The sequence below is a fragment of the Homo sapiens genome, chromosome 5 (assembly GCF_000001405.40).
Source record: "Homo sapiens chromosome 5, GRCh38.p14 Primary Assembly".
Taxonomy (NCBI): domain Eukaryota; kingdom Metazoa; phylum Chordata; class Mammalia; order Primates; family Hominidae; genus Homo; species Homo sapiens.
This window is the reverse complement of record NC_000005.10, coordinates 95,025,815-95,045,908: the sequence shown is the minus strand read 5'-3', so window position 1 is coordinate 95,045,908 and position 20,094 is coordinate 95,025,815. Positions and strand designations below refer to the sequence as shown.

The following is a 20,094-nucleotide window of genomic DNA, read 5'->3' as shown; positions in this document are numbered from 1 at the left end:
CTTTCTAAGAAAATATCAGAGCCAGGATTCAAACTCAAGCAGTCTGGCTACAGAGTGATATTCTTATCTACTGTAGTAAACTATTTCTGAAATACAGAAGGAGCACTCTTATCTTGAGGTTATTTTGAGAACTTTAAATGTCAGAAATTATGATGTAACCATATATCACATGTTTGGTATATGTTTGCATACTAAGTACAAATTCCGTATCCAATGATAAGGTCACCATAGCTTTTGACTCCCTTTGGCTCACACATAACCACTGACGCCAGACCCCTTTCACTGATTATATTGACTGACATGATTCAAGTTCACTAAATTCTGAGACACTTCACCAATTGCCTAGGCTTTTGTTCCCTTCTTAAACTATGTTTTCGTCTCTCTAAGCCGTAGGCCTCTAGCTTTCATCGACTCTAGGAACTGTTCTTCATTCATTTATTCAGCAAGTCAGTCAGTCAGCAAATGTTTATTGACTATCTTTGTGCCAAGCACTAGTCTAAAAGCAGAAGTTACCAGGTTGTACCACACAGACATAAAATTCATTAAAACCAAGTCAACTTATAAATATGGTATTTCCAAACTGTGATAAGGAAACAGCAGGTTGCTGTGGTAAAGAATAAACTAATGAAGAACTCTTTAGATGGGCATGAGGGAAGGCTTCTTGGAGGAGGTAACATGAGCTGAGAGCTCCAGGATGAGAAGGAGCTAGTCCTGCCAATAGCCTGGGTAAGAAGCTTCCAGATAAAAGTATAAAGTTCCTAGTGGACAAGAGTTTAGCACATTCAAGAAACTCACACAAGGCTGATGTGGCTAGTGTAGTGAGGGGGAAGGTAGCTGGAGGTGAAATTGGAGAAGTTGGTGATACAGATTGTGTAGGGCTTTGTGAGCTACAGTAGGGAGTTTTCAGTGTATGGAAGTTCACTAAAAAGTTTTAGGCAGGAGATTGACGTAGTCATTTTGATGCTTGACGATCACTTCAGCTGCTTGTGGGAGACTGAATTTAAGAGGAATAAGAGCAAAAGGAGGATCATCACTTAGAAGTCTGCTGCCCTGATTCACGTTAGGGATGACGGGGGCTCGGACTAGGGGGTCTGGGGATGGGTATGGGAAAAAGAGGACAGAGTGAAGACACGTTTTGCAAGTGTAGTTGAAGGGTACACTTCTGATGGGTCTCATGAGAAGGTTGAGGGGGAAAGGAAGAGGAAGATGGTGCTGAGCAACTGAATGGCTGGGGAATGCTTTGCCTGGGTTAAAGGACAGAGGGAGGTCAAAGTGGAAACAGATGTGGGGGCAAAAGAAGAGATTAGATCTGGACATGTTGAATTTAAGTTGCCTCTGAGACATCCAAGTAGAAAGGTCAAGTAAGCAGAGAGAAGCATCCCAGACCTAGAGAACAGGTGCTACCTAAAGCTCTGGAAATTGATCTACTCAATTGATCTACAGGGGCTAAGTGTGAAGATAAATGAGCAAAAGGACTGAAGATCACATCGTGGGAAATGGGCAACATTTAGAGAAAAAAGTCAGTGCCCTCTGTTCTGTTGAGCAGAACTGCTCTTCCTCTGCTGCCTGCCAGAAAGAGAGAAAAAGCCAGGACACTTGTCCTGCTTTTTTCCTGTGGCAGCACATGGCAGAATGCCAGCTGGATTTTATAGGTGAAAAGAAATTCGTTCCATTGCTTCTTCCATTCTCCTCTCTCTAGAGTCCCTTTCTGTGGACTTAACTTCTGAGGAGGTCCTCCTAGAACTTCATTCCATGACATACACCCTCAACAAGGACAACAAAGTACTTGGATGGGTTGTTTTCCCTGTAGGGCCCAGAACCATCTCACCCATGTGCAGAGAAGGATAGGAAGTCCATACTCCTACACCACATTCTTCTTTTTTTGAGAACACTAAATTTTATTGCACAGAAAAAAATCTAGCTAATTTGCTCCTGCAAAAAGACATTCCATGAAAAGCTGGTGTGTGAGCATACAGTGCTTAGCAGGCAGAGCTGGAAATGGAGAGAATGCCTGTCAGAAGCACTCCAAAGCTATACTCTCTGGTTCCTGCTCCATCCCCGTAGGCCAAGCCCTTTAGAATGCAGCCTTTACTAATCCCATTAATTTACAAAGGGCACGTACTAACCACTTAAAAATTGCTTAACATAAAATAAAAATGAGTTGAGAATATGCCCAGGCAGTTCACGGGAAATACAGATTAATGGCAAATAGACAGGAAAGACAGTCTCACTAGTAATTAAGGCATCTGTTTTATTCCATCAGAATGGCAAATGTTTTAAAATTTATATGGAAAGCAAATCAACAATGTTAAAGGTGTGAGTTTTCATGACTCCTCACCCTGGATTTGCAATATTTTCATGCTCCATTTCTCCCTCTTCTCTACAACTGCAGCAGAAAAGAGAAGGAAAAAAGGCTAAGCAGAATGATATAATCAGGGGATTGGGAGTCAGGGTGGGGTTAGGGAGGAAGTCACATGGGCTTCAAGAAAGAGGAAACCTTGCTGGCTGAGCTAGAGGACAGCCCTGGTCTTAGTGGGAAGTACTGCTTAGTAAGGGTTAACATATGAGAGGATCAGTGCAAAAGGAGTTTTGGAGGGAGAGAAAGGCAATTTTGAGAAGTGTTAATACCAGATTATAAATTGGACTAAATTCTAAAATGTTTTAGAAATGCAAATAATAAAATTTCTTGTTTAGATTTTGAACTATGCATTGTTAAATGTGACCCTCTGTGGAAGACTGACTTATTATAAATATCTGATAATATGTTCTTGGCAGCTGTATGGGAAACTCACTCACTGTCCGTAGGAATGTAAGCTGGTGGGATATTTTTGGAAGATTGGTGATTTGACAAGATCTCTCAAAATTGAAAACATAGAATCCTTTGGCCTAGCAAATTTAGTGATTAGAATTTACTCATTAGATACAGAAATGTACACCAAGATCTACATAAGACAAAATTCCTTGCCACATTGTTTATAATAGTATAAAAGGGGTGGGGGGACTAGAAATCTAAATGTAATGAAAATCAGATTAAATAAATTATGGTAGATATATACATTCAATAGAATACTAAGTGTCTTTTAGACAGTTTGAGGTAGAGCTGAATGTATTGACATCAGAAGATCACCAAGGTGTTACTAAATGAGAAAGGCAAGGTGATTGACAGTGTATACCGTATGTTCATTCCTATAGCTGTACATTCTGTAAAAGGGTATGTGCCTGTTAATGGTGGTTACCTTTGGAGACAAGCACTGGCATTTGAATGCAAGACTGAAAATCTTACTTTTCACTTTACTTTTGTATATTGTTTAGAGTATGCAGCCAATGCATGTATTTCAAAGAAATGACACCCTGATATAAACATTACTGGGAATTCTGCACATGACATTCCCAACTATATGTGTAAGCACTGGTTTTTAAGAAGATGATGTATCAGGCTATTGGTTTGTTAACGCCGTTGTTTTGCTTGCTTATCACTATCCATAAACCATGACAAAAAGACAATAACTTTCTGCATCTTCCGCTGTTTTCTGGTAGCATGTTTATTGCTCAGTCCTGATGGTTTCATATAGAGCAGTTTAAATTGCCAAGTGTTTGCACCCTCTTTAAAGTGTGTACTTGACACTCACTTCACTGTAACCTAATACATTCATTTGCCCGGTAAATATGCCTAATACTATTTGCTTTGGTTGTATAAATAAATACTTCCTTACCGGCATTGGAAAAACAGGCCACTGGCTATTAAAATGTGTGTGAATATGCCAATTATACATAACTGGGGACTTTTCAAACGACTACACTGAACCAGCAAAAGCAGCTGGTCTAACATTTCAGTGATGAAGCAGTAAGTTTGAGAAAACAAGATCCAAAGTCTTCAGACTTTTGCACTTTGAACTTGAATTTCTGTAGAAAGTGAGATGCTGAGCTCACAGGCAGAGTTCTGTCTTTTCAACTCACACTGAGAAACGGGGCAGATTCAGTTGAAGGATGCGGAGTTGGAAACAAGCTTCAATAAAAGAAATGAATAATATTCTCCTGTAAAATGAAGAAGTGTATGTTAATCTTTGGAATAACAAAACATTTTTACAATTAAAATATGCTACTTCCTTGGGGAATATTTTTCCTACAACTTCTGGGATGGAGAAAGCTATATATTATTTCCATATTACATTAACTGATATAAAGGCAGTATGTATGACTATATTCTATTTACTAATTATAAACCCCAGAGTTTTATATATGTTGAACAAGGCCTGTATCCTAAAATACTATCCAGCTAATTAGTTTTAGTTGATTACACCAAAGACATTTGATTAGAAGCCAAAAAATGCCCTCCAAATTACTTGAAGTAAGTAATACAACACAGGGAAATGTATCTTTCTCATGAGAAAGGTTCTAGATCGATGTGTGTTTAAAAACTTTTGATATTAAACGTTTAAAGTACTTTTTCCTTAACTACAATCAACCCTTTCTTTTTGATATGAACTTATAGCTAAGTGAAATTATATAATTAGGGCTGACAAGTTAAAATTACCATATAGTTTCAGGTACCTAATTTACTTTCTTTTTGTTTTTTCTTTTTTTTTTTTTTTTTTTTCAGAGCATGGGCTTTTGGCATTAGACAGAATAGTTTGAATCTCATTTCACTGTTTCCCAGCTGAAGGAAGTTATACAACCTCTCTAATCTTCAGTTTCCACATCTGTAAAAGTAGTATGATAAGCATAATTATTTCTTAGGTTTGTTGTGTGAAACAATTCAGACAAAATTTGTGTTCCATCAGTGTTAGCTATTTCATAATTGGGTTGCTTTGGGTTGCAAGTAACAAAAAAAAACTCGAACTGACTTAAATTATAAAGGGAATCTATTGGATCCTATAACCAGAAAATCCAGAGGCTAACTCAATAGCTCAACCAAAAGTCACAAGAATCTAGTGTACTTCTGTCTCTCCACCCAGCCTCCACTATTATTAGCCTTCTAAATTACCCCATTCTTAAACCCAAGATGGCTGCCAACTCCCACAGCTACCTACCTACATGTTTTCTCATTCTCACCCAGGAGGAAAGATTGAGCCCTTGTGTTCCAGCATTCTCAACCAAGTCCCAAGATTTACCCTGATTGAAAGAGCTTAGGTCACATACCCAACCCTGAATCAGTCACTGTGGCCAGGGGGTTAGATTGGCTTGATCTTTGTGCTGTTTTCCACCCCTCGAGCTAGGGGGCAAGTCAGCTTCCTCACAACCACATCAGTTATGAAGAGGAAACTGGGGTCTGTTTGGACATGGAAAGGTAGAAACACATGGATAGGAAGGTGTGTTACCACCTTGTTCATTTTATCCAGGCACTGTCAAGAGGGCTGTTTACTTCCCAGGCAGTTATCCGGAAGTTAATCTGTGCCCTTGGATGGGCTCAGGGAGCACTTAGCCCAAAAAATCTTCTTTAAAATTTCTTTCTTTTTTTTTTTTTTTGAGACAGAGTCATACATACTATGTCGCCAAGGCTGGAGTGCAGTAGCACCATCTCAGCTTGCTGCAACCTTCCGCCTCTCAGGTTCAAGCGATTCTGGTGTCTCAGTCTCCCAAGTAGCTGGAATTACAAGTGTGAACCACCATGCCTGGCTAATTTTTTTGTATATTTAGTAGAGACAGGGTTTCACCATGTTGGCCAGGCTTGTCTCAAACTCCTGACCTCAGGTGATCTGCCTGCCACGGCCTTCCAAAGTGCCAGGATTACAGGCATGAGCCATCATGCCCAGCCTTCTTTAAAATTTGTTAGAAGCAGAACAATTTCAGCAGGCAGGGGGGACCTCACATGCCAAGATGAATTGTATATTTTTCTGTAATTAATTAGATGAAGCTCCCAGAGTGAATACTGGTTACTAAGAAACATTTGACAATCTTATAGTAGCAGTTTAATGCTGTTATGAGGAAGTTTTAAAAAATTAGCAGTGACACCTAGTGTTATCTACTCGTGTGATAGTCCTCAAGTTTTGGCAGTTTAGATCTTTCTTTTTTTTTTTTTTTTTTTTTTTTGCAAACGGTACTGAGAAGACTCATAAACTCCTGTTCACTTTGTTCTAGCAATGTCTTTGGAATACTTAAACAATATCAGTTAACTGAATAAGCTAAGCATTTTTTTGCATTGTATTTGCTTAGCTCCTACGTCAACTTTTGATAATTTCTGGGACTTACATTTTATCTATAGCAGATCCTGCTTTCACATTTATTAATTCAATAGATTTTATTTATGTATGGAAAACCCTTGTGAGACACCTTTCTCTATCACAGACTTGTTTACTGAGTAAATAAAATTCTCATCCTGTGGTACAGATATTTTAGAATTTTAAATCTCACAAACAAGCATAAAAGCATATTTCAAAAGGAGTTACAAATGTATTTTTGATTTGTTGGCCTTCTTTAATCATTATTATTTATGCCTCAGCCCACAACCCCCTTCCCCCACTGTAAGTATGAATAATTAATGACACACTTTTCGCACACACTTGCACTCAGGTGAGAGCATTTCAGTTAATGGATGAAGAGTTCTAAAGAGCTGCAAAAATGAAGAAATGTCAATATTTATCCCTGAAAACCACTTCCAACAACTGTCCAGAACTTTTCTCCTTTAAAGCACTTCCTTTATGAACGTGTCTTAAAGTCTCAATTAGATACTAATCTGTTTTTTGAACAATCAAATTTAGGTTCTTATCTATAATTAGACTATCATTTTGAAAGTACAAAGGCAAGGTCTAAATATTTTATTTTTACCATAGGATACTAAGTGTTTCACATGTATTATTCTGTTTAATCTTCACAAAAATTCTGTTAGGTATGTGCTATTTTTATCCCCATTTTTAAGGGTGAGAACCCAAGCTACTGAGTGATGGATTTGAAGAGAAAAAAAAAAACTACCAGAACCTGCTTTCTTTTCTTTTGAAAGCAAGAAGGAAATGTGGAAGTATTATAGATCAGCCTCCTTTACTACAGATGAGGAATTGAGGGTCGAAGAGGGTAAGTTATTTGCTTGAGGCAGTAAAGTTAGTTTTACGAAGGTGTTGGAAGAAAATCTCAAGCCTCATGACTTATAGCCTAATGTGTGGTCACTGGTGACCACATCTTTCTCAGAGCTACCTGGAATTAAAAAGGTTTTATCAGCAGTACTAAAGAATTATTTTGGTTAAACGTAAACACTGCATAAATGTGTCCCTTAAATACATCACCTTCAGTTTTTTCATCTGTGAAATGGGGGAGGGAAAAGGGATGGTGAAGAGAGTTAGGCTCATTTATCACTAATATGCCTTCCATGATGTAGTTTGTCAGGTTTCTCTGGTTACTCTTTCCCTCTCCATCCACTGAACTCTGTTGAAGGAAATCATTACACACAGCCCACACTTGAGGATGGGGAGTGGTGCTCTCTCTCCTTGAGGAGGAGCATCTACACCAATTATTCTGAATTCTTCTGCACTATAGATTTGTCTGTTATCCCCTGTTTACTTATTTATGCATTCAAATTATTTATTTATATTGGTATATTATCATGGATATATATTTTATTCTTTGGGTTGTAATCCAATACTATGCTATTTATTTTGTTTCTTGAAAACTTTTTAATAACTTCTCCAACCAGAATTTACAAAAATGGTAAACAATGAAAATAAATCACAATATTCACTGAAGGATACTTTGTGCCAGGCTCCATGATTAATTCCATGTTCATGTTTTAGTTATACCTGGAAGGAATAACTTGCTATTCGCACAACTGAGTGTATGAGATCCTACTCCATCCACAGCTGTGCACCTGTGACCATGAGATTGTTCGAATGTTTGAAAGGATAAAATACACGTGAGTTTTGTTTTAAACTCATATGTAAATGAGAATGGCACATTGACATGCTATGCCCCATATGATGGTATTTGTAGAATCAAAGCAAGTTTCTGAAACTCTATTCCATAGTATCTTTAACACAGTCATCAAAGGATAGAAACAGCAGAGAATAAGTAGGTGGTGGTGGTTGTTGTTGTTTTGTTTTTGTTTTTGTTTTTTTGAGACAGAGTTTCACTCTTGTTGCCCAAAAGTGCAATGGCGTGAACTCTGCTCACTGCAACCTCCGCCTCATGGGTTCACGCGATTCTCCCTCAGCCTCAGCCTCCCGAGTAGCTGGGATTATAGGTGCCTGCCACTGTGCCCAGCTAATTTTCTGTATTGTTAGTAGAGATGGGGTTTCACTGTGTTTGCCAGGCCGATCTCAAACTCCTGACATCAAGTGATCCACCTGCCTTGGCCTCTCAAAGTGCTGGGATTACAGACGTTAGCCACTGCACCTGGCCATGTTATTTTTTATTTTTAAGTCTCTACATTATTAGACCAATATATACTACACATCTACAGAAAATTGGAAAACTTCTAAAAAGTAGGAAGAAAATAAAATTGCCCTTAATTTCCTTGTTATATAATAGCTCACGTTAACATGTTGTTATATTTCCTTCCTGTCTTTTTGGCAATGCATAGGTAGATTTAACCTGGTTAATATTATGTATGCAGTTTTGCATCCTACTTTTCACCTCGTTGCTTTTTCCTAAGCATTTGCCCACATCATTCGAAATACTCCATAAGAACCATTTTAAATGACTCAGTGAACAGTTAAAGAAATATTTCCAGAATATAATTGACAGGACTTGATGGCTACGCCCTGGGGGTCCAGGTGTAATTGTTGGGTTTTCTAGTCTAGGTGTATGATCATTCCAAAAGATGCTTCAAACCCAAATTCAGAACAAAAAGAAGAGGCAGGTTGAAGGAGGTGGAGGACTTCTGATTTACTGCCATGAAACTCCTGTTGTCATGTTTTTCCATGTTGGCATTTAAATGTCACATGCAAAACTGTCTCTATGATAGTCTTTGAAGGCAAAGAATGTATCCAAACATCTTTCTGTGTTTTCTGTAATATTAATTTGTGCTGGGTATCCAATATGGGATTAAAAAATGAGTGAGTGAGTGAGTGAAAGAATGAAATTCTGGATAAGGGTAGGGTAACCTTGAATATGGGAAGGAGTGTGCGAGGTTGGAAATTGATTTCTAAGATTTGCTAATTTCCTATTCAGAAAAACTATAATCCCCATGGTTTTCTCCAAAGAAAATCAAGTGTTGGAATAAAAGAAGTAGTACATTCATTCTATCTAGATATTTTTCACATTCTTTTTAAAGATACCTAATTAATTTTATGGGTAGGATTGATATGACATTTAAAAAGTTGATATGTGATAGAAACACTAAAATATTCCTTTGGTTCTTTGGGTTTTCCTGAAGTTACCTTTGAAATAAAGATTAGGGTTCTGACGAGGAAACTCAGATACAAAGCAATTTGTAATCCGCGGGGAAAAAGGGGAACACTATAGAGTTATTCCAAGAGAAGTAGAGCTATGTGCTTAAGTCTAATACAGAGGCTTCTTTGTTTCGGTTTCATAAGAGCTGTTGAGGATCTGTGGTTGCCTGTTTTGTAGACGTAAATCCATAGAAGCAGTAGAAGGATTCTTCAGCAAAATCCCAAATGTTTAGCATCAAGCAAAGCATCTGCTACACGAGCTTCCCTCTTTGAAATTGTTATAATCTCAAAAATTCAAGTATTAAATAAAATGTTTTCCCATATATGTTGCCCAAATTTTGGAAATACGACTGGTCTTGATCTATTGAAACATTTGTTAACAGAAGCATTTATGGCAAGGAAGGTAACAGCAACTAACAAGTTAGTGCAGTATGCCTATTTCTGACAAGACTATCCCTCTGAGAGTTGTTTTACTCACTGGTAGCTATGCACTTTTTCATGACATTTGAATTTCTTTGGGGAGAAACAGTATGTTTGGGAACTCACAAAAAGACAAAAGGTCAGATGAGTTAATACAAATAAAATCTGTCTTGTTCTCAGGTCCAATAAATACTATTTTGGTGAAATAGGAAAGATAACAGTCATTAAGTAATACAAGAGTACTAAAAGCCTACAAGTTAACCCAAGCATAATCTGTTATCTTCTTTCTAATGTCTGATTAACCATTAATGAACATTAGCAGTACTATATGCATAATATATGATTTGAAAAAAGCAGGAAGAACCTACTTTGTAAATCACTCAACTCTTTTATAAACACTTTCAATTACATTATTTCTTTAAATTTTCACAAGTATATATATATTTTTTAATTACACATTCAAGAGGTACATATGCAGGTTTGTTACATGATTGTATTGTATAATACTGGTGTTTGGGCTTCTAGTGAACCTATCACCCAAATAGTGAACATAGTACCCAATAAGTAGTTTTTCAGCCCTCACTCCTCTTTCTTCCTACATATTTTTGGAGTTCCTGTTGTCTGTTGTTCCCACCTATATGACCATGTGTAGCTATTATATTGCTCCCACTTATAAGTGAGAACATGTGGTATGTGGTTTTCTGTTTCTTCATTAGTTCACTTAAGATAATTGCCTCTAGCTGCATCCGTGTTGCTGCAAAGAACATGGTTTCATTCTTTTTATGGCTGCACAGTATTCCATGTAATATATGTACACATTTTCCTTATCCAATTCACTGCTGATGGACACTTAGGTTGATTCCATGCCTTTGCTATTGTAAACAGTGCTGTGATAAACATATAAATGCAGGTTTTTTTAAATATATAATTTATTTTTCCTTCGGGTAGATGGCCAGTAGTAAGATTGTTAGGTCAAATGGAAGCTTTATTTTTAGTTCTTTGAGAAATTTCCATGCTATTTTCCGTAGAGATTGTACTAATTTATATTCCCACCAACAGTGTATGAGTGTTCCCTTTTCTCCACGTCTTTGCCAACATCTGTTATTTTTTGACCTTTTAATAATAGTCATTCTGACTGGTGTGAGATGGCATCTTATTGTGATTTTAATTTGCATTTCTTTGATGATTAGTGATGTTGAGCATTTTTCAAATGGTTATTGGTCACTTGTATATCTTCCTTTGAGAAGTATCTGTTCATGTCTTTTGCCCACTTTTTAATGGAGTTATTTATATTTTTCTTGTTGATTTTTTAAAGTTCCTTATAGATTCTGGATATTAGTCTTTTGTTGGATGCATAAATTGCAAATATTTTCTCCCATTCCATAGGTTGTCTGTCTACTCTGTTGACTGTTTCTTTTGCCGTACAGAAGCTCTTTAGCTTAAGTCCCATTTGTCTATTTTTGTTTTTGTTGCATTTGCTTTTGAAGTCTTCACCTTAAATTATTTGCATAAGTCAATATCCAGAACAGTTTTTCCTAGGGTTTCTTCTAGGATTTTTCTAGTTTGAGGTTTTCCATTTAAGTCTTTAATCCATCTTGAATAAATTTTTATATATGATGAGAGATAAGGGTCCAGTTTCATTCTTCTGTATGTGGCTAGCCAGTTTTCCCAGCACTATTTATCAAATAGAGTGTTCTTTCCCCATTGCTTATTTTTGTTGAATTTTTTGAAGATCAGTTGGTTGTGGGTGTGTGGCTTTATTTCTGGGTTCTCTATTCTGTTCCATTGATCTATGTGTTTATTTTTGTAGCAGTGCCGTGCTGCTTTGGTTATTATAGCCTTGTAGTATAGTTGGAAGTCATGTAATGTGATACTTCCAGCTTTGTTCTTTTTGCTTAGGATTGCTTTGGATATTCAGGCTCTTTTTTGGTTCCATATACATTTTAGAATTTTTTTTTCTAATTCCATGAAAAATGACATTGGTAATTTGATAGGAATTGTGATGAATCTATAGATTGCTTTGGGCAGTATGGTCATTTTAATGATATTGATTCTTCCAAGTCATGAGCATGGAATGTTTTTCCATTCATTTATGTCATCTGTGACTTCTTTCAACAGTGTTTTGTAATTCTCCTTGTAGAGATCTTTTACCTCTTTGGTTAAATGTATTCCTAGGTATTTTGATTTTTTGTGTGTGGCTATTGTAAATGGGATTGAGTTCTTACTTTTGTTCCCAGCTTGAACATTATTGGTGTATAGAAATGCTACTGACTTGTGTACATTGATCTTCTATCCTGAAACTTCACTGAATTCATTTATCAGGTCTAGGAACCTTTTGCCAGAATCTTTAGGGCTTTCTAGCTATTGGATCACGTTGTCAGTGAATAGAGATAATTTGGCTTCCTTTTTTTCCTACTTGGATACTTTTTGTTTCTTTCTGTTGCCTGATTGCTCTGGCTAGGACTCCTATGTTGAATAGAAGTGGTAAGAGTGGACATCTGTCTTGTTCCAGTTTGTAGGGGAAATGCTTCTAACTGTGCCCATTCAGTGTGATGTTAGCTATGGGTTTGTCATAAATTTGTTTTGTTATTTTGAGATATGTTTCCTCAATGCCTGGTTTGTTGAGAGTTTTTATCATGAAAAAATGTTGGATTTTATGACGTGCTTTTTCTGCTTCTACTGAGATAATCATATGGTTTTTGTTCTTATTCTGTTTATGTGGTGCATCACACTTATTGATTCGTGTATGTGGAAATCATCTTTGCATCCCAGAAATAAAACCCAAATGGATTGTGATGAATTACCTTTTGTGGTGCTGCTGGATTTGGCTTGCTAGTATTTTGTTGACAGTTTTTGTGTCTATGTTCATTAGGGCTATTGACCTGTAGTTTTTATTGTTGTTGTTGTGTCCCTGTCAGATTTTGGTATCAGGATGACACTGGTTTTATAGAATGAATTAGATAGAAATACCTCCTACTCAATTTTATGGAATAGTTTTAGTAAAACTGGTATCAGCTCTTCTTTGAGCATCTGGTAGAATTGAGGGCTTTTATTTGGTTGGTAGATTTTTTATTACTGATTATATTTCATTACTCATTGTTTTGTAAGGGATTTCAATATCTTCCTGGTTCAGTCTTGGAAGGTTGCGTGTTTCCAGGAAATTATCTGTTTCCTCTGCATTTTCTAATTTGTGTGCATGGAGATGTTCATAATAGTCTCTGAGGAACTTTTGTATTCCTTTTGATCTTTTGTAGTTTCAGTTGTAATGTCACCCTGGTCATTTGATATTGTGCTTATTTGAACCTTCTCTCTTTTTTTCTTGGTTAATCTAGCTGCTGGTCTATCAATTCTGTTTATCCTTTTGAAGAAACAACTGTTCATTTTGTTGATCCTTTGCATAATTTTTTTGCTCTAAATTTCATTTAGTTCTGCTCTAACCTTTGTTATTTCTTTTCTTCTGCTAACTTTAGGTTTGGTTTGTTCTTGTTTTGCTTGTTTTGGGTGTCATGTTAGGTTGTTAATTGGGGACCTTTGTATCTTTCTGATGTAGGCATTTATTACTACAAACTTTCCTCTTACCACTGCTTTTGCTGTATTCCAGAGGTTCGGGTATGTTTTCTCTCTATTTTTATTTGTGTCAAAAATTTTTTTTATTTCCATCTTAACTTTGTTGTTTACCCAAAGTTCTTCGGAAACAAGACTTTTTAGTTTCCGTGTACTTGTATGGTTTTGAGAGTTCCTCTTGATATTTATTTCTAATTTAATTCCACTGTGGTCCCAGAAGATGCTTTATATGATTTCAGTTATTTTGAATTTATTGGGACTTGCTTTATGACGAAGCATGTGGTCAATTTTAGAAAATGTTCCATGCACAGATGAGAATGTATATCCTGTGGTTGTTGGGTGGATTATTCTGTAGATGTCTGGTAGGTCCATTTGGTCAAAAGTCCAATTTAAGTCCAGAGTTTCTTTGTTAGTTGTCTGCCTCAATGATCTATCTAGTGCTGTCAGTAGAGTGTTGAAGCCCCCTACTATTATTGTATGGCTGGTTATCTCTTTTCTTAGGTCTAGCAGTATTTGTTTTGTAAGTCTGGGTGCTCCAACATTGAGTGCATATATATTCAGGATAGGTAAGTCTTCTTGTTGGAGGAATCTTTTATCATTACATAATGCCCTTATTTGTCCTTTTTACTGTTGTTGATTTAAACTCTGTTTTATCTGATACAAGAATAGCAACCACAGTTCTTTATTGTTTTCCATTTGTGTGCTAGATCCTTCATTTTCCCTTTACTTTGAGCCTGCGGATGTCATTCCACATGAGATGTGCTCTTGAAGGCAACAAAAAATTGGATCTTTGTTGCTGTTGTCCCGTTTGCCACTCTATGTCTTTTTAGTGGAGCATTTAGGCTGTTTATGTTCAAGGTTAATGTTAATATATGAGATTTTGTTCCCGTCATAGTATTGTTAGCCGAGCCTTGTACTTAACTGTGTTTTTATGATAGCATATAACATTCTTTCTTTCCATGGTTAGAACTCCTTGACCATTTCTTGTAGGACCAGTCTTGTGGTGATGAATTCCCTTAGTGTTTGCTCATCTGGAAAAGACTTTATTTCTCCTTTGTTTATGAAACTTAATTTTTTTAGGAGGACGTGAAATTCTTGGCTGGCATTTTTCTCTTAAAGAAAGCTAAAAGCATGCCTCCAATCTCTTCTGGCTTGTAAGGTTTCTGCTGAGAAGTCCACTGTTAGTTTGATGGGATTTCCTTTATAGGTAATTTGGCTGTTTTGTCTATCTTCCTTTAAGATTTTTTTTTCTTTCATGTTGACCTTGGAAAATCAGACGACTCTATGTCTTGGGGGTGGTTATCTTGTATAGTGTTTTGCAGGTGTTCTCTGAGTTTCCTGTATCTGGATGTTGACCTCACTAGCAAGATTAGGAAAATTTTCTTGAACTAGTCCCTGAAATAAGTTTTCTGAGTTCCTACTTTTTTTTTCTCTCAGACTGCCATTAAATCATAGATTTGTTTGCTTTACATAATCTCATATTTCTTGAAAGCTTTGTTCATTTTTTAATTTTTTTTAAATTTTTGTCTGACTCAGATAATTTGAAAGACTGATCTTCAAACTCTGAAATTCATTCTTTTGCTTGGTTAGTCTATTGTTAAAGCATGTTTTTAGTGAACTTTTCTATTCTGGAGTTCTATTTTTTTTTTAATGTAGCTATCTTGTCTTTCATATCCTGAATTGTTTTTCTGGCTTCTTTGTGTTGGATATCTGCTTTCTATTGGATATCACTGAGTTTCCTTGCAACCTATATTTTGAGTTCTTTATCTGTTTTTTCAAACTATTTAATTTGGTTAGGATCCATTGCTAGAGAGTGAGAGTAGTCCTTTAAAAGTATCAAGACATTGTGGCTTTTTGTACTGCTGGAGTTTTTTGTGCTGATTCCTTCTCATCTGCTTCTTATTTTTGAATTCGCCATCATTTCTATGAGACTTTTTTAAAAATATCATTTTTCCCTTGAGGGTATGACTGTGGTGCATGTTGCATATAATCAGTTGACTTATTTTCTGGATACTTGCAGAGGGCTAAGGCTCTGGATGTGTCTCTTGGGTTGTATATAGCTTCTATGCTGTGGCTTTCTCAGATGCTGCTTGTTGTACTGGTGTATTGGATGCATGAGCCAACATATGACCTCCTGTGGGGCTGAGAGTGTGGAGTTTCAGGAAGCTTATCTCATGGACTAGCACTAAGCCCTCTGGTAGCAGGTTTTGTGTTGGGTGGTGCAGCTCAGGCTTCAGTCCAGTATATAGCAGTTAAGAATAGGAGCTGACTTGATCTTAGGTAGGCTGATGTTGAGTGGAAACACCCACCCTGAAGGGGTATTGGCAGGAAGAGATTGTGTTGTGGTACACTGAAGTCTTGGGGGAAAGTGGTGGAGCATGCATCAGCTCCTCATCTTGAGCCAACAGGTATGTGATCTGCTTCTCTATCACTTCCCTGTTGCAGGGTTCATGACTTCCGGTTCACAAAGACTTTGTCCTTTGGTTCCCCACTGCAGTGCAGGTACAGGCCATGGATATACCCCTCTGAGGGCTACCACCAAAATGGGCTCAGGCGAGAACCTCTTCCCCGGCCAGATCAGGCAACTCTGCAACTTATCTGTCCTCCCTTGCTAGAACGCTGCCGTTCTGTGTAGGGAGTGGGAGTTGGACCCTGCTCTTTGTGTAAGCTGTGCTTGCCAATGTCAGAGCAGGTTGTGGTGTATATTTGTGGGGGATTTGGTGGTGGAGTAACTCAAGGGCAGAGAAACCACATGCAAGGCAGTGGCACCACAAGTGTACAATCAGTATGGCACCTGATACCTAATTTCAAACCTGAGGGGAGTGCAACCATACTCGTGCAAACCGGCCACCAAGTTCTCTGTCTCCAGGAAGTTCCCAAATCACCACAGATAGCATTGCCCTGAGTCACAAGGTCAGAGGGGTTCCCCAACAGTCTGGCTGTCCGGAGATTGTCAGAGAGGTGAGAGGAGAGAGAAGTGCTCTCACCAAGTCTTTCCATGGGGTCTGAGTTCTTTGGGAGTCAATCTATGCCGGATTCTTGCTGCTTTCCTTGTTTGTGCCCCAGCTTCTTCCCATGGATTCTCCAAGAGGTCCTGGCTCTCTTCCCTCACTTTCCCATTTAGAACTTGTCTATTCACAGTCACTTTAATCTTTCTGAGGAGAACTAGCATCCAATGTCTCTGGTCAGCTATCTTGAGAAAAGGAAAGAAAATTCACAAGGACTTTTTTTAAAGAAATAGAAAATGAGGCTTCTAGAGCTCAAAATCTTTCCCTATGCCTCACAGCAATTTAATACCATAACTAGGCTTTGTGTCCATGTCTTTGTGCTCTGACTCCTGTAATATTTCCTCTATCTTATAATAGATCTCCTCATCACCTGCATCTAAATAACCACTTATATTTGAACAATTTCTTACAGTTACAAACACTTTTACATTTTTTTTTTTTTTTGAGATGGAGTCTCGCTCTGTCACCCAGGCTGTAGTGCAGTGGCCTGATCTCTGCTCCCTACAACCTCGGCCTCCGGGATCAAAATTCTCCTGCCTCAGTCTCCCGTATACCTGGGATTACAGGCACGCACCACCACACCTGGCTAATTTTTGTATTTTTAGTAGAGACTGGGTTTCACCATGTTGGTCAGGCTGGTCTCGAACTCCTGACCTCACGATCGCCCGCCTTGGTCTCCCAAAGTGCTGGGATTACAGGCGTGAGCCACCGTGCCCGGCCTACATATTTTATCTCATAATCAGAACAGTGTTTATGAGATATCTATTACCTATTTTAAAGATTAGAAAACAAATATCAGACAGGATAGTATTTTTGGCTGAAGTTAAATAATTGCTATCTCACCTGTGCTTTCTTCAACAAAATTTGTATCTTGCAACACAAAGTCTGTTTACATGGTCTAATTTAAAAAGAGAGTGGTCCATCTACATAAGGCTTAAGAAAAGAGAATTTTATTTGCTTTGGCTCAGGTTATTTTATATACTGTATGTGTAGGCGGAAAGGTTATTAGTGATAATGAAGCAATGCCACACAGAGCAGTCAATTTAGCAGACAATCCACGGGTGAGTAATCAGTGTTGTGGGAGTCCCAGAAAAGACATTCTGGGAGCACTGAATTTCATACTTTTTTAAACAGCAATAAATGTTGCCATTTATTGGGTCTGAGTATTTATTGGCCCATTTTGTTTAGTTTGGACCACCAGGAAACCAAAACCCCAGAATTAAACCTAGGGTTGTAGTTCAGTTCAAAAACAAAGTATAGTAAAGCTTTGTTATGACCAGAGGATTGGCCTTTTCTGCTTTCTGGTAATCTGAAGGCTAACTTACCATTATAACCATGCATTCTAGTTTACCTGGGACAGTTTTGTTTCTACCTGTTTCTACCGTATCATTATTAATAGCACTCCCTTTCACTCTCCAAAGTATCCTATTTTGAATGATCAGTTACATGGCCATCCTAACCATAGATTTTCTCCCAATTCTTGTTGAAATATTCATTTTAAAAAACATGAAGTTTTTCCTTACTTAGTAGCTGCAGAGCATTGACCTTATTTGGCCTTTGAGTGGTGAGCTAGTCCCTCAGGGGTGCTGTGCATGAGCATCACACAGAACTGTGGAGGAAGAAGGTGGATGCATGAAGTGATTTCTGTCTGCAGCCTCTCTCTGCAGCTCACTTTCCCTATATTACTGTATTCTGACACTCATGGATTTCCTGTGTTAACTGGTTGCTCTCTTGATCCTTGGCTTATTTTGCTCGGTCTCGTTCTTTTCGTATTATATTCTGTTGTAAGGGCCAAGGACTCATTGAAGCTGTCTCAAAGAAGGCCAGAAGAGGTAAGAAGGTCAGCAGGAACCACACAGACATTCAAGAGTACGGAGCAGTGGACCCTCAGCTCCCAGACGTACTTCAGGCTTTCAGCAGTGGGAGCTCATAGATCTTCACTCTCCTGTCCAATATTGTCATTACTGTGCTTTGGTTGCTTGGTCTGTGTCTGTATGCCCTGTTACAATGTCACACTCCACCCTCTACTATATGTAGTTTTCCACCCCATACTTCTGCTAATTATAGCATCTGTTTCCTGACTTGAGGTTACACGTGGCCTTCTGGCCTCTCCAGCTTCTTTATTATGACTCTTCAGCTTAGCAGCTACTGTTAACTTTTTCTTCTCTCTGAAATTCATTCTAATCATCTTTGCCTACTAATGCTCTCTGCTAAATAACAACCTGGCACCAGCCAGCCTGCTCACTGTCTGCCCTTAGTTTAGACACCCAGCTCATGTCTAATCAGCTATGAGCAAGGGGCAAGGGATTTACATTTACTTGGAACCAAGCATAAGCTTTTCTTTCCATTGCGGCTGTAAATTAGACACCACGGCTGACATACGTAGTGGGGTGCACCCATTATTTGCCATAATTTTTCCCATTCTGTGTAAGGTCTTTAAAGTCACTTAATCAATTGACTTCCAGATAATCATAGTGTTTCCTTGACAGATACTTGAGCTTCATTGAACTTTGAATATCTCTGTGGCTTTTGAATTCTGTTTTTGAAAATTAGGTTTTAAAAAGCTTTGATTTCCACTTAATGGATATTTCACTGTACAGGTTTTCAGTGTCATAGACTGTACACATGTTTTCAGTGTCATAGAAAGTAGAAGAGATGACTAAGTAGAAACTGGTCATGACTAAGTAGAAATCTTCAATGATATCTTTGACAACATTGCTAAATTTTAAAAGTCGAAAATTGAATATCTGTCACGAAGTTTTAACTTTAAGTGGGCTTTATTGACAGACAAAGTTAGATCTGCAGTGATCATGGCCTGAGTGTATGAAACATTTATGGAATAATGTAACCAATCTACAATCCACTTGGCATGGTAATACTAAGAGCACACCAGGAAATTCCCTAGAAGCCAGGCATACCCCTCCCCCACTGTACAGTGCTACAATAAACCTCCTGCTTTTTAATTGATAATAAGAATGAGATTCTGTGATTTGCAACAAAATGGAGGGAATTGGAGATCATTTTGTTAAGCGAAATAAGCCGGGCACAGAAAGACAAACTTTGCATGGTCTCACTTACTTGTGGGAGCTAAAAATTAAAACAATGGAGATAGAGAGTAGAAGGATGGTTACCAGAGAGTGGGAAGGGTAGTTGGGGGTTGAGGGGAAGAGCGGAGGGTTAATGGGTACAAAAAGTAGTTAGAAAGAATGAATAAGATCTAGAATTTGCCAGCACAACAGGGTGACTGTAGTAAAAAATAATTTAATTGTACATTTTAAAGTACTAAAGGTATATAATTGGATTGTATGTAACGCAAAGGGTAAATGCTTGAGGTGATGAGTATCCCATTTAACCTGATGAAATTATAATGCATTGCATGTCTGTATCAAAATATCTCATGAAACCCATAAATACATATATACTATGTACCCACAAAAATTAAAAATTAAAATTAAAAATTAAAAGAATCAATCATGCCAGCTAACAGAGTAAACCCTTTATTTTTTCCTGTAATGAAAATTTCAAAAAGGTCAGGAGGCATTCCCGACTTCGATTTTACCAGCACCTTTATATCTTCTGGTGGAAGCTCTCTTTATTTATATAAAAAGACCTCCCAAGCAGCAGAGCCTAAAGTCACTGGGACCCTTCTGTTGATTCCCACACATATTACTCAGGTGTTTCATGATATCTATAAGAAAAGTCTGGAGAATCTTTGTGCATAGTTTTCACAAAGACTTGCTTCTATAACTGGCACAAGGATCAAGCTAGTCTGCATATTGAAATTA

The 20,094-nt window shown here is 37.7% G+C and overlaps 1 protein-coding gene across 55 annotated transcripts in view, besides 3 other annotated features; it reads left to right on the top strand.

Moving 5' to 3' along the window:
* Window positions 1-20,094, top strand: part of MCTP1 (multiple C2 and transmembrane domain containing 1) — a 581,405-nt gene that overhangs the window by 239,186 nt on the left and 322,125 nt on the right. The window contains exon 2 of one of the 55 annotated variants that reach the window (XM_011543649.4): window positions 7,722-7,840. The exons of the other annotated variants lie outside the window; for them this stretch is intronic. The gene's annotated coding sequence lies outside the window, so the exon portion shown is untranslated. The remainder of the gene's footprint in view (window positions 1-7,721; window positions 7,841-20,094) is intronic. 55 annotated transcript variants of the gene reach the window in all.
* Window positions 2,357-2,557: a silencer, noted in NCBI's record as "peak5358 fragment used in MPRA reporter construct". NCBI's record gives its function as "represses an SCP1 promoter by STARR-seq MPRAs in K562 erythroleukemia cells {active_cell/tissue: K562}" and the evidence as "EXISTENCE:reporter gene assay evidence [ECO:0000049][PMID:32103011]".
* Window positions 15,745-15,934: a silencer, noted in NCBI's record as "fragment chr5:94365679-94365868 (GRCh37/hg19 assembly coordinates)". NCBI's record gives its function as "represses an EF-1alpha promoter that drives an FKBP-Casp9 reporter gene in an ReSE screen in HepG2 liver carcinoma cells {active_cell/tissue: HepG2}" and the evidence as "EXISTENCE:reporter gene assay evidence [ECO:0000049][PMID:32094911]".
* Window positions 18,274-18,373: an enhancer, noted in NCBI's record as "active region_22795". NCBI's record gives its function as "activates an Ori minimal core promoter by ATAC-STARR-seq in GM12878 lymphoblastoid cells {active_cell/tissue: GM12878}" and the evidence as "EXISTENCE:reporter gene assay evidence [ECO:0000049][PMID:35858748]".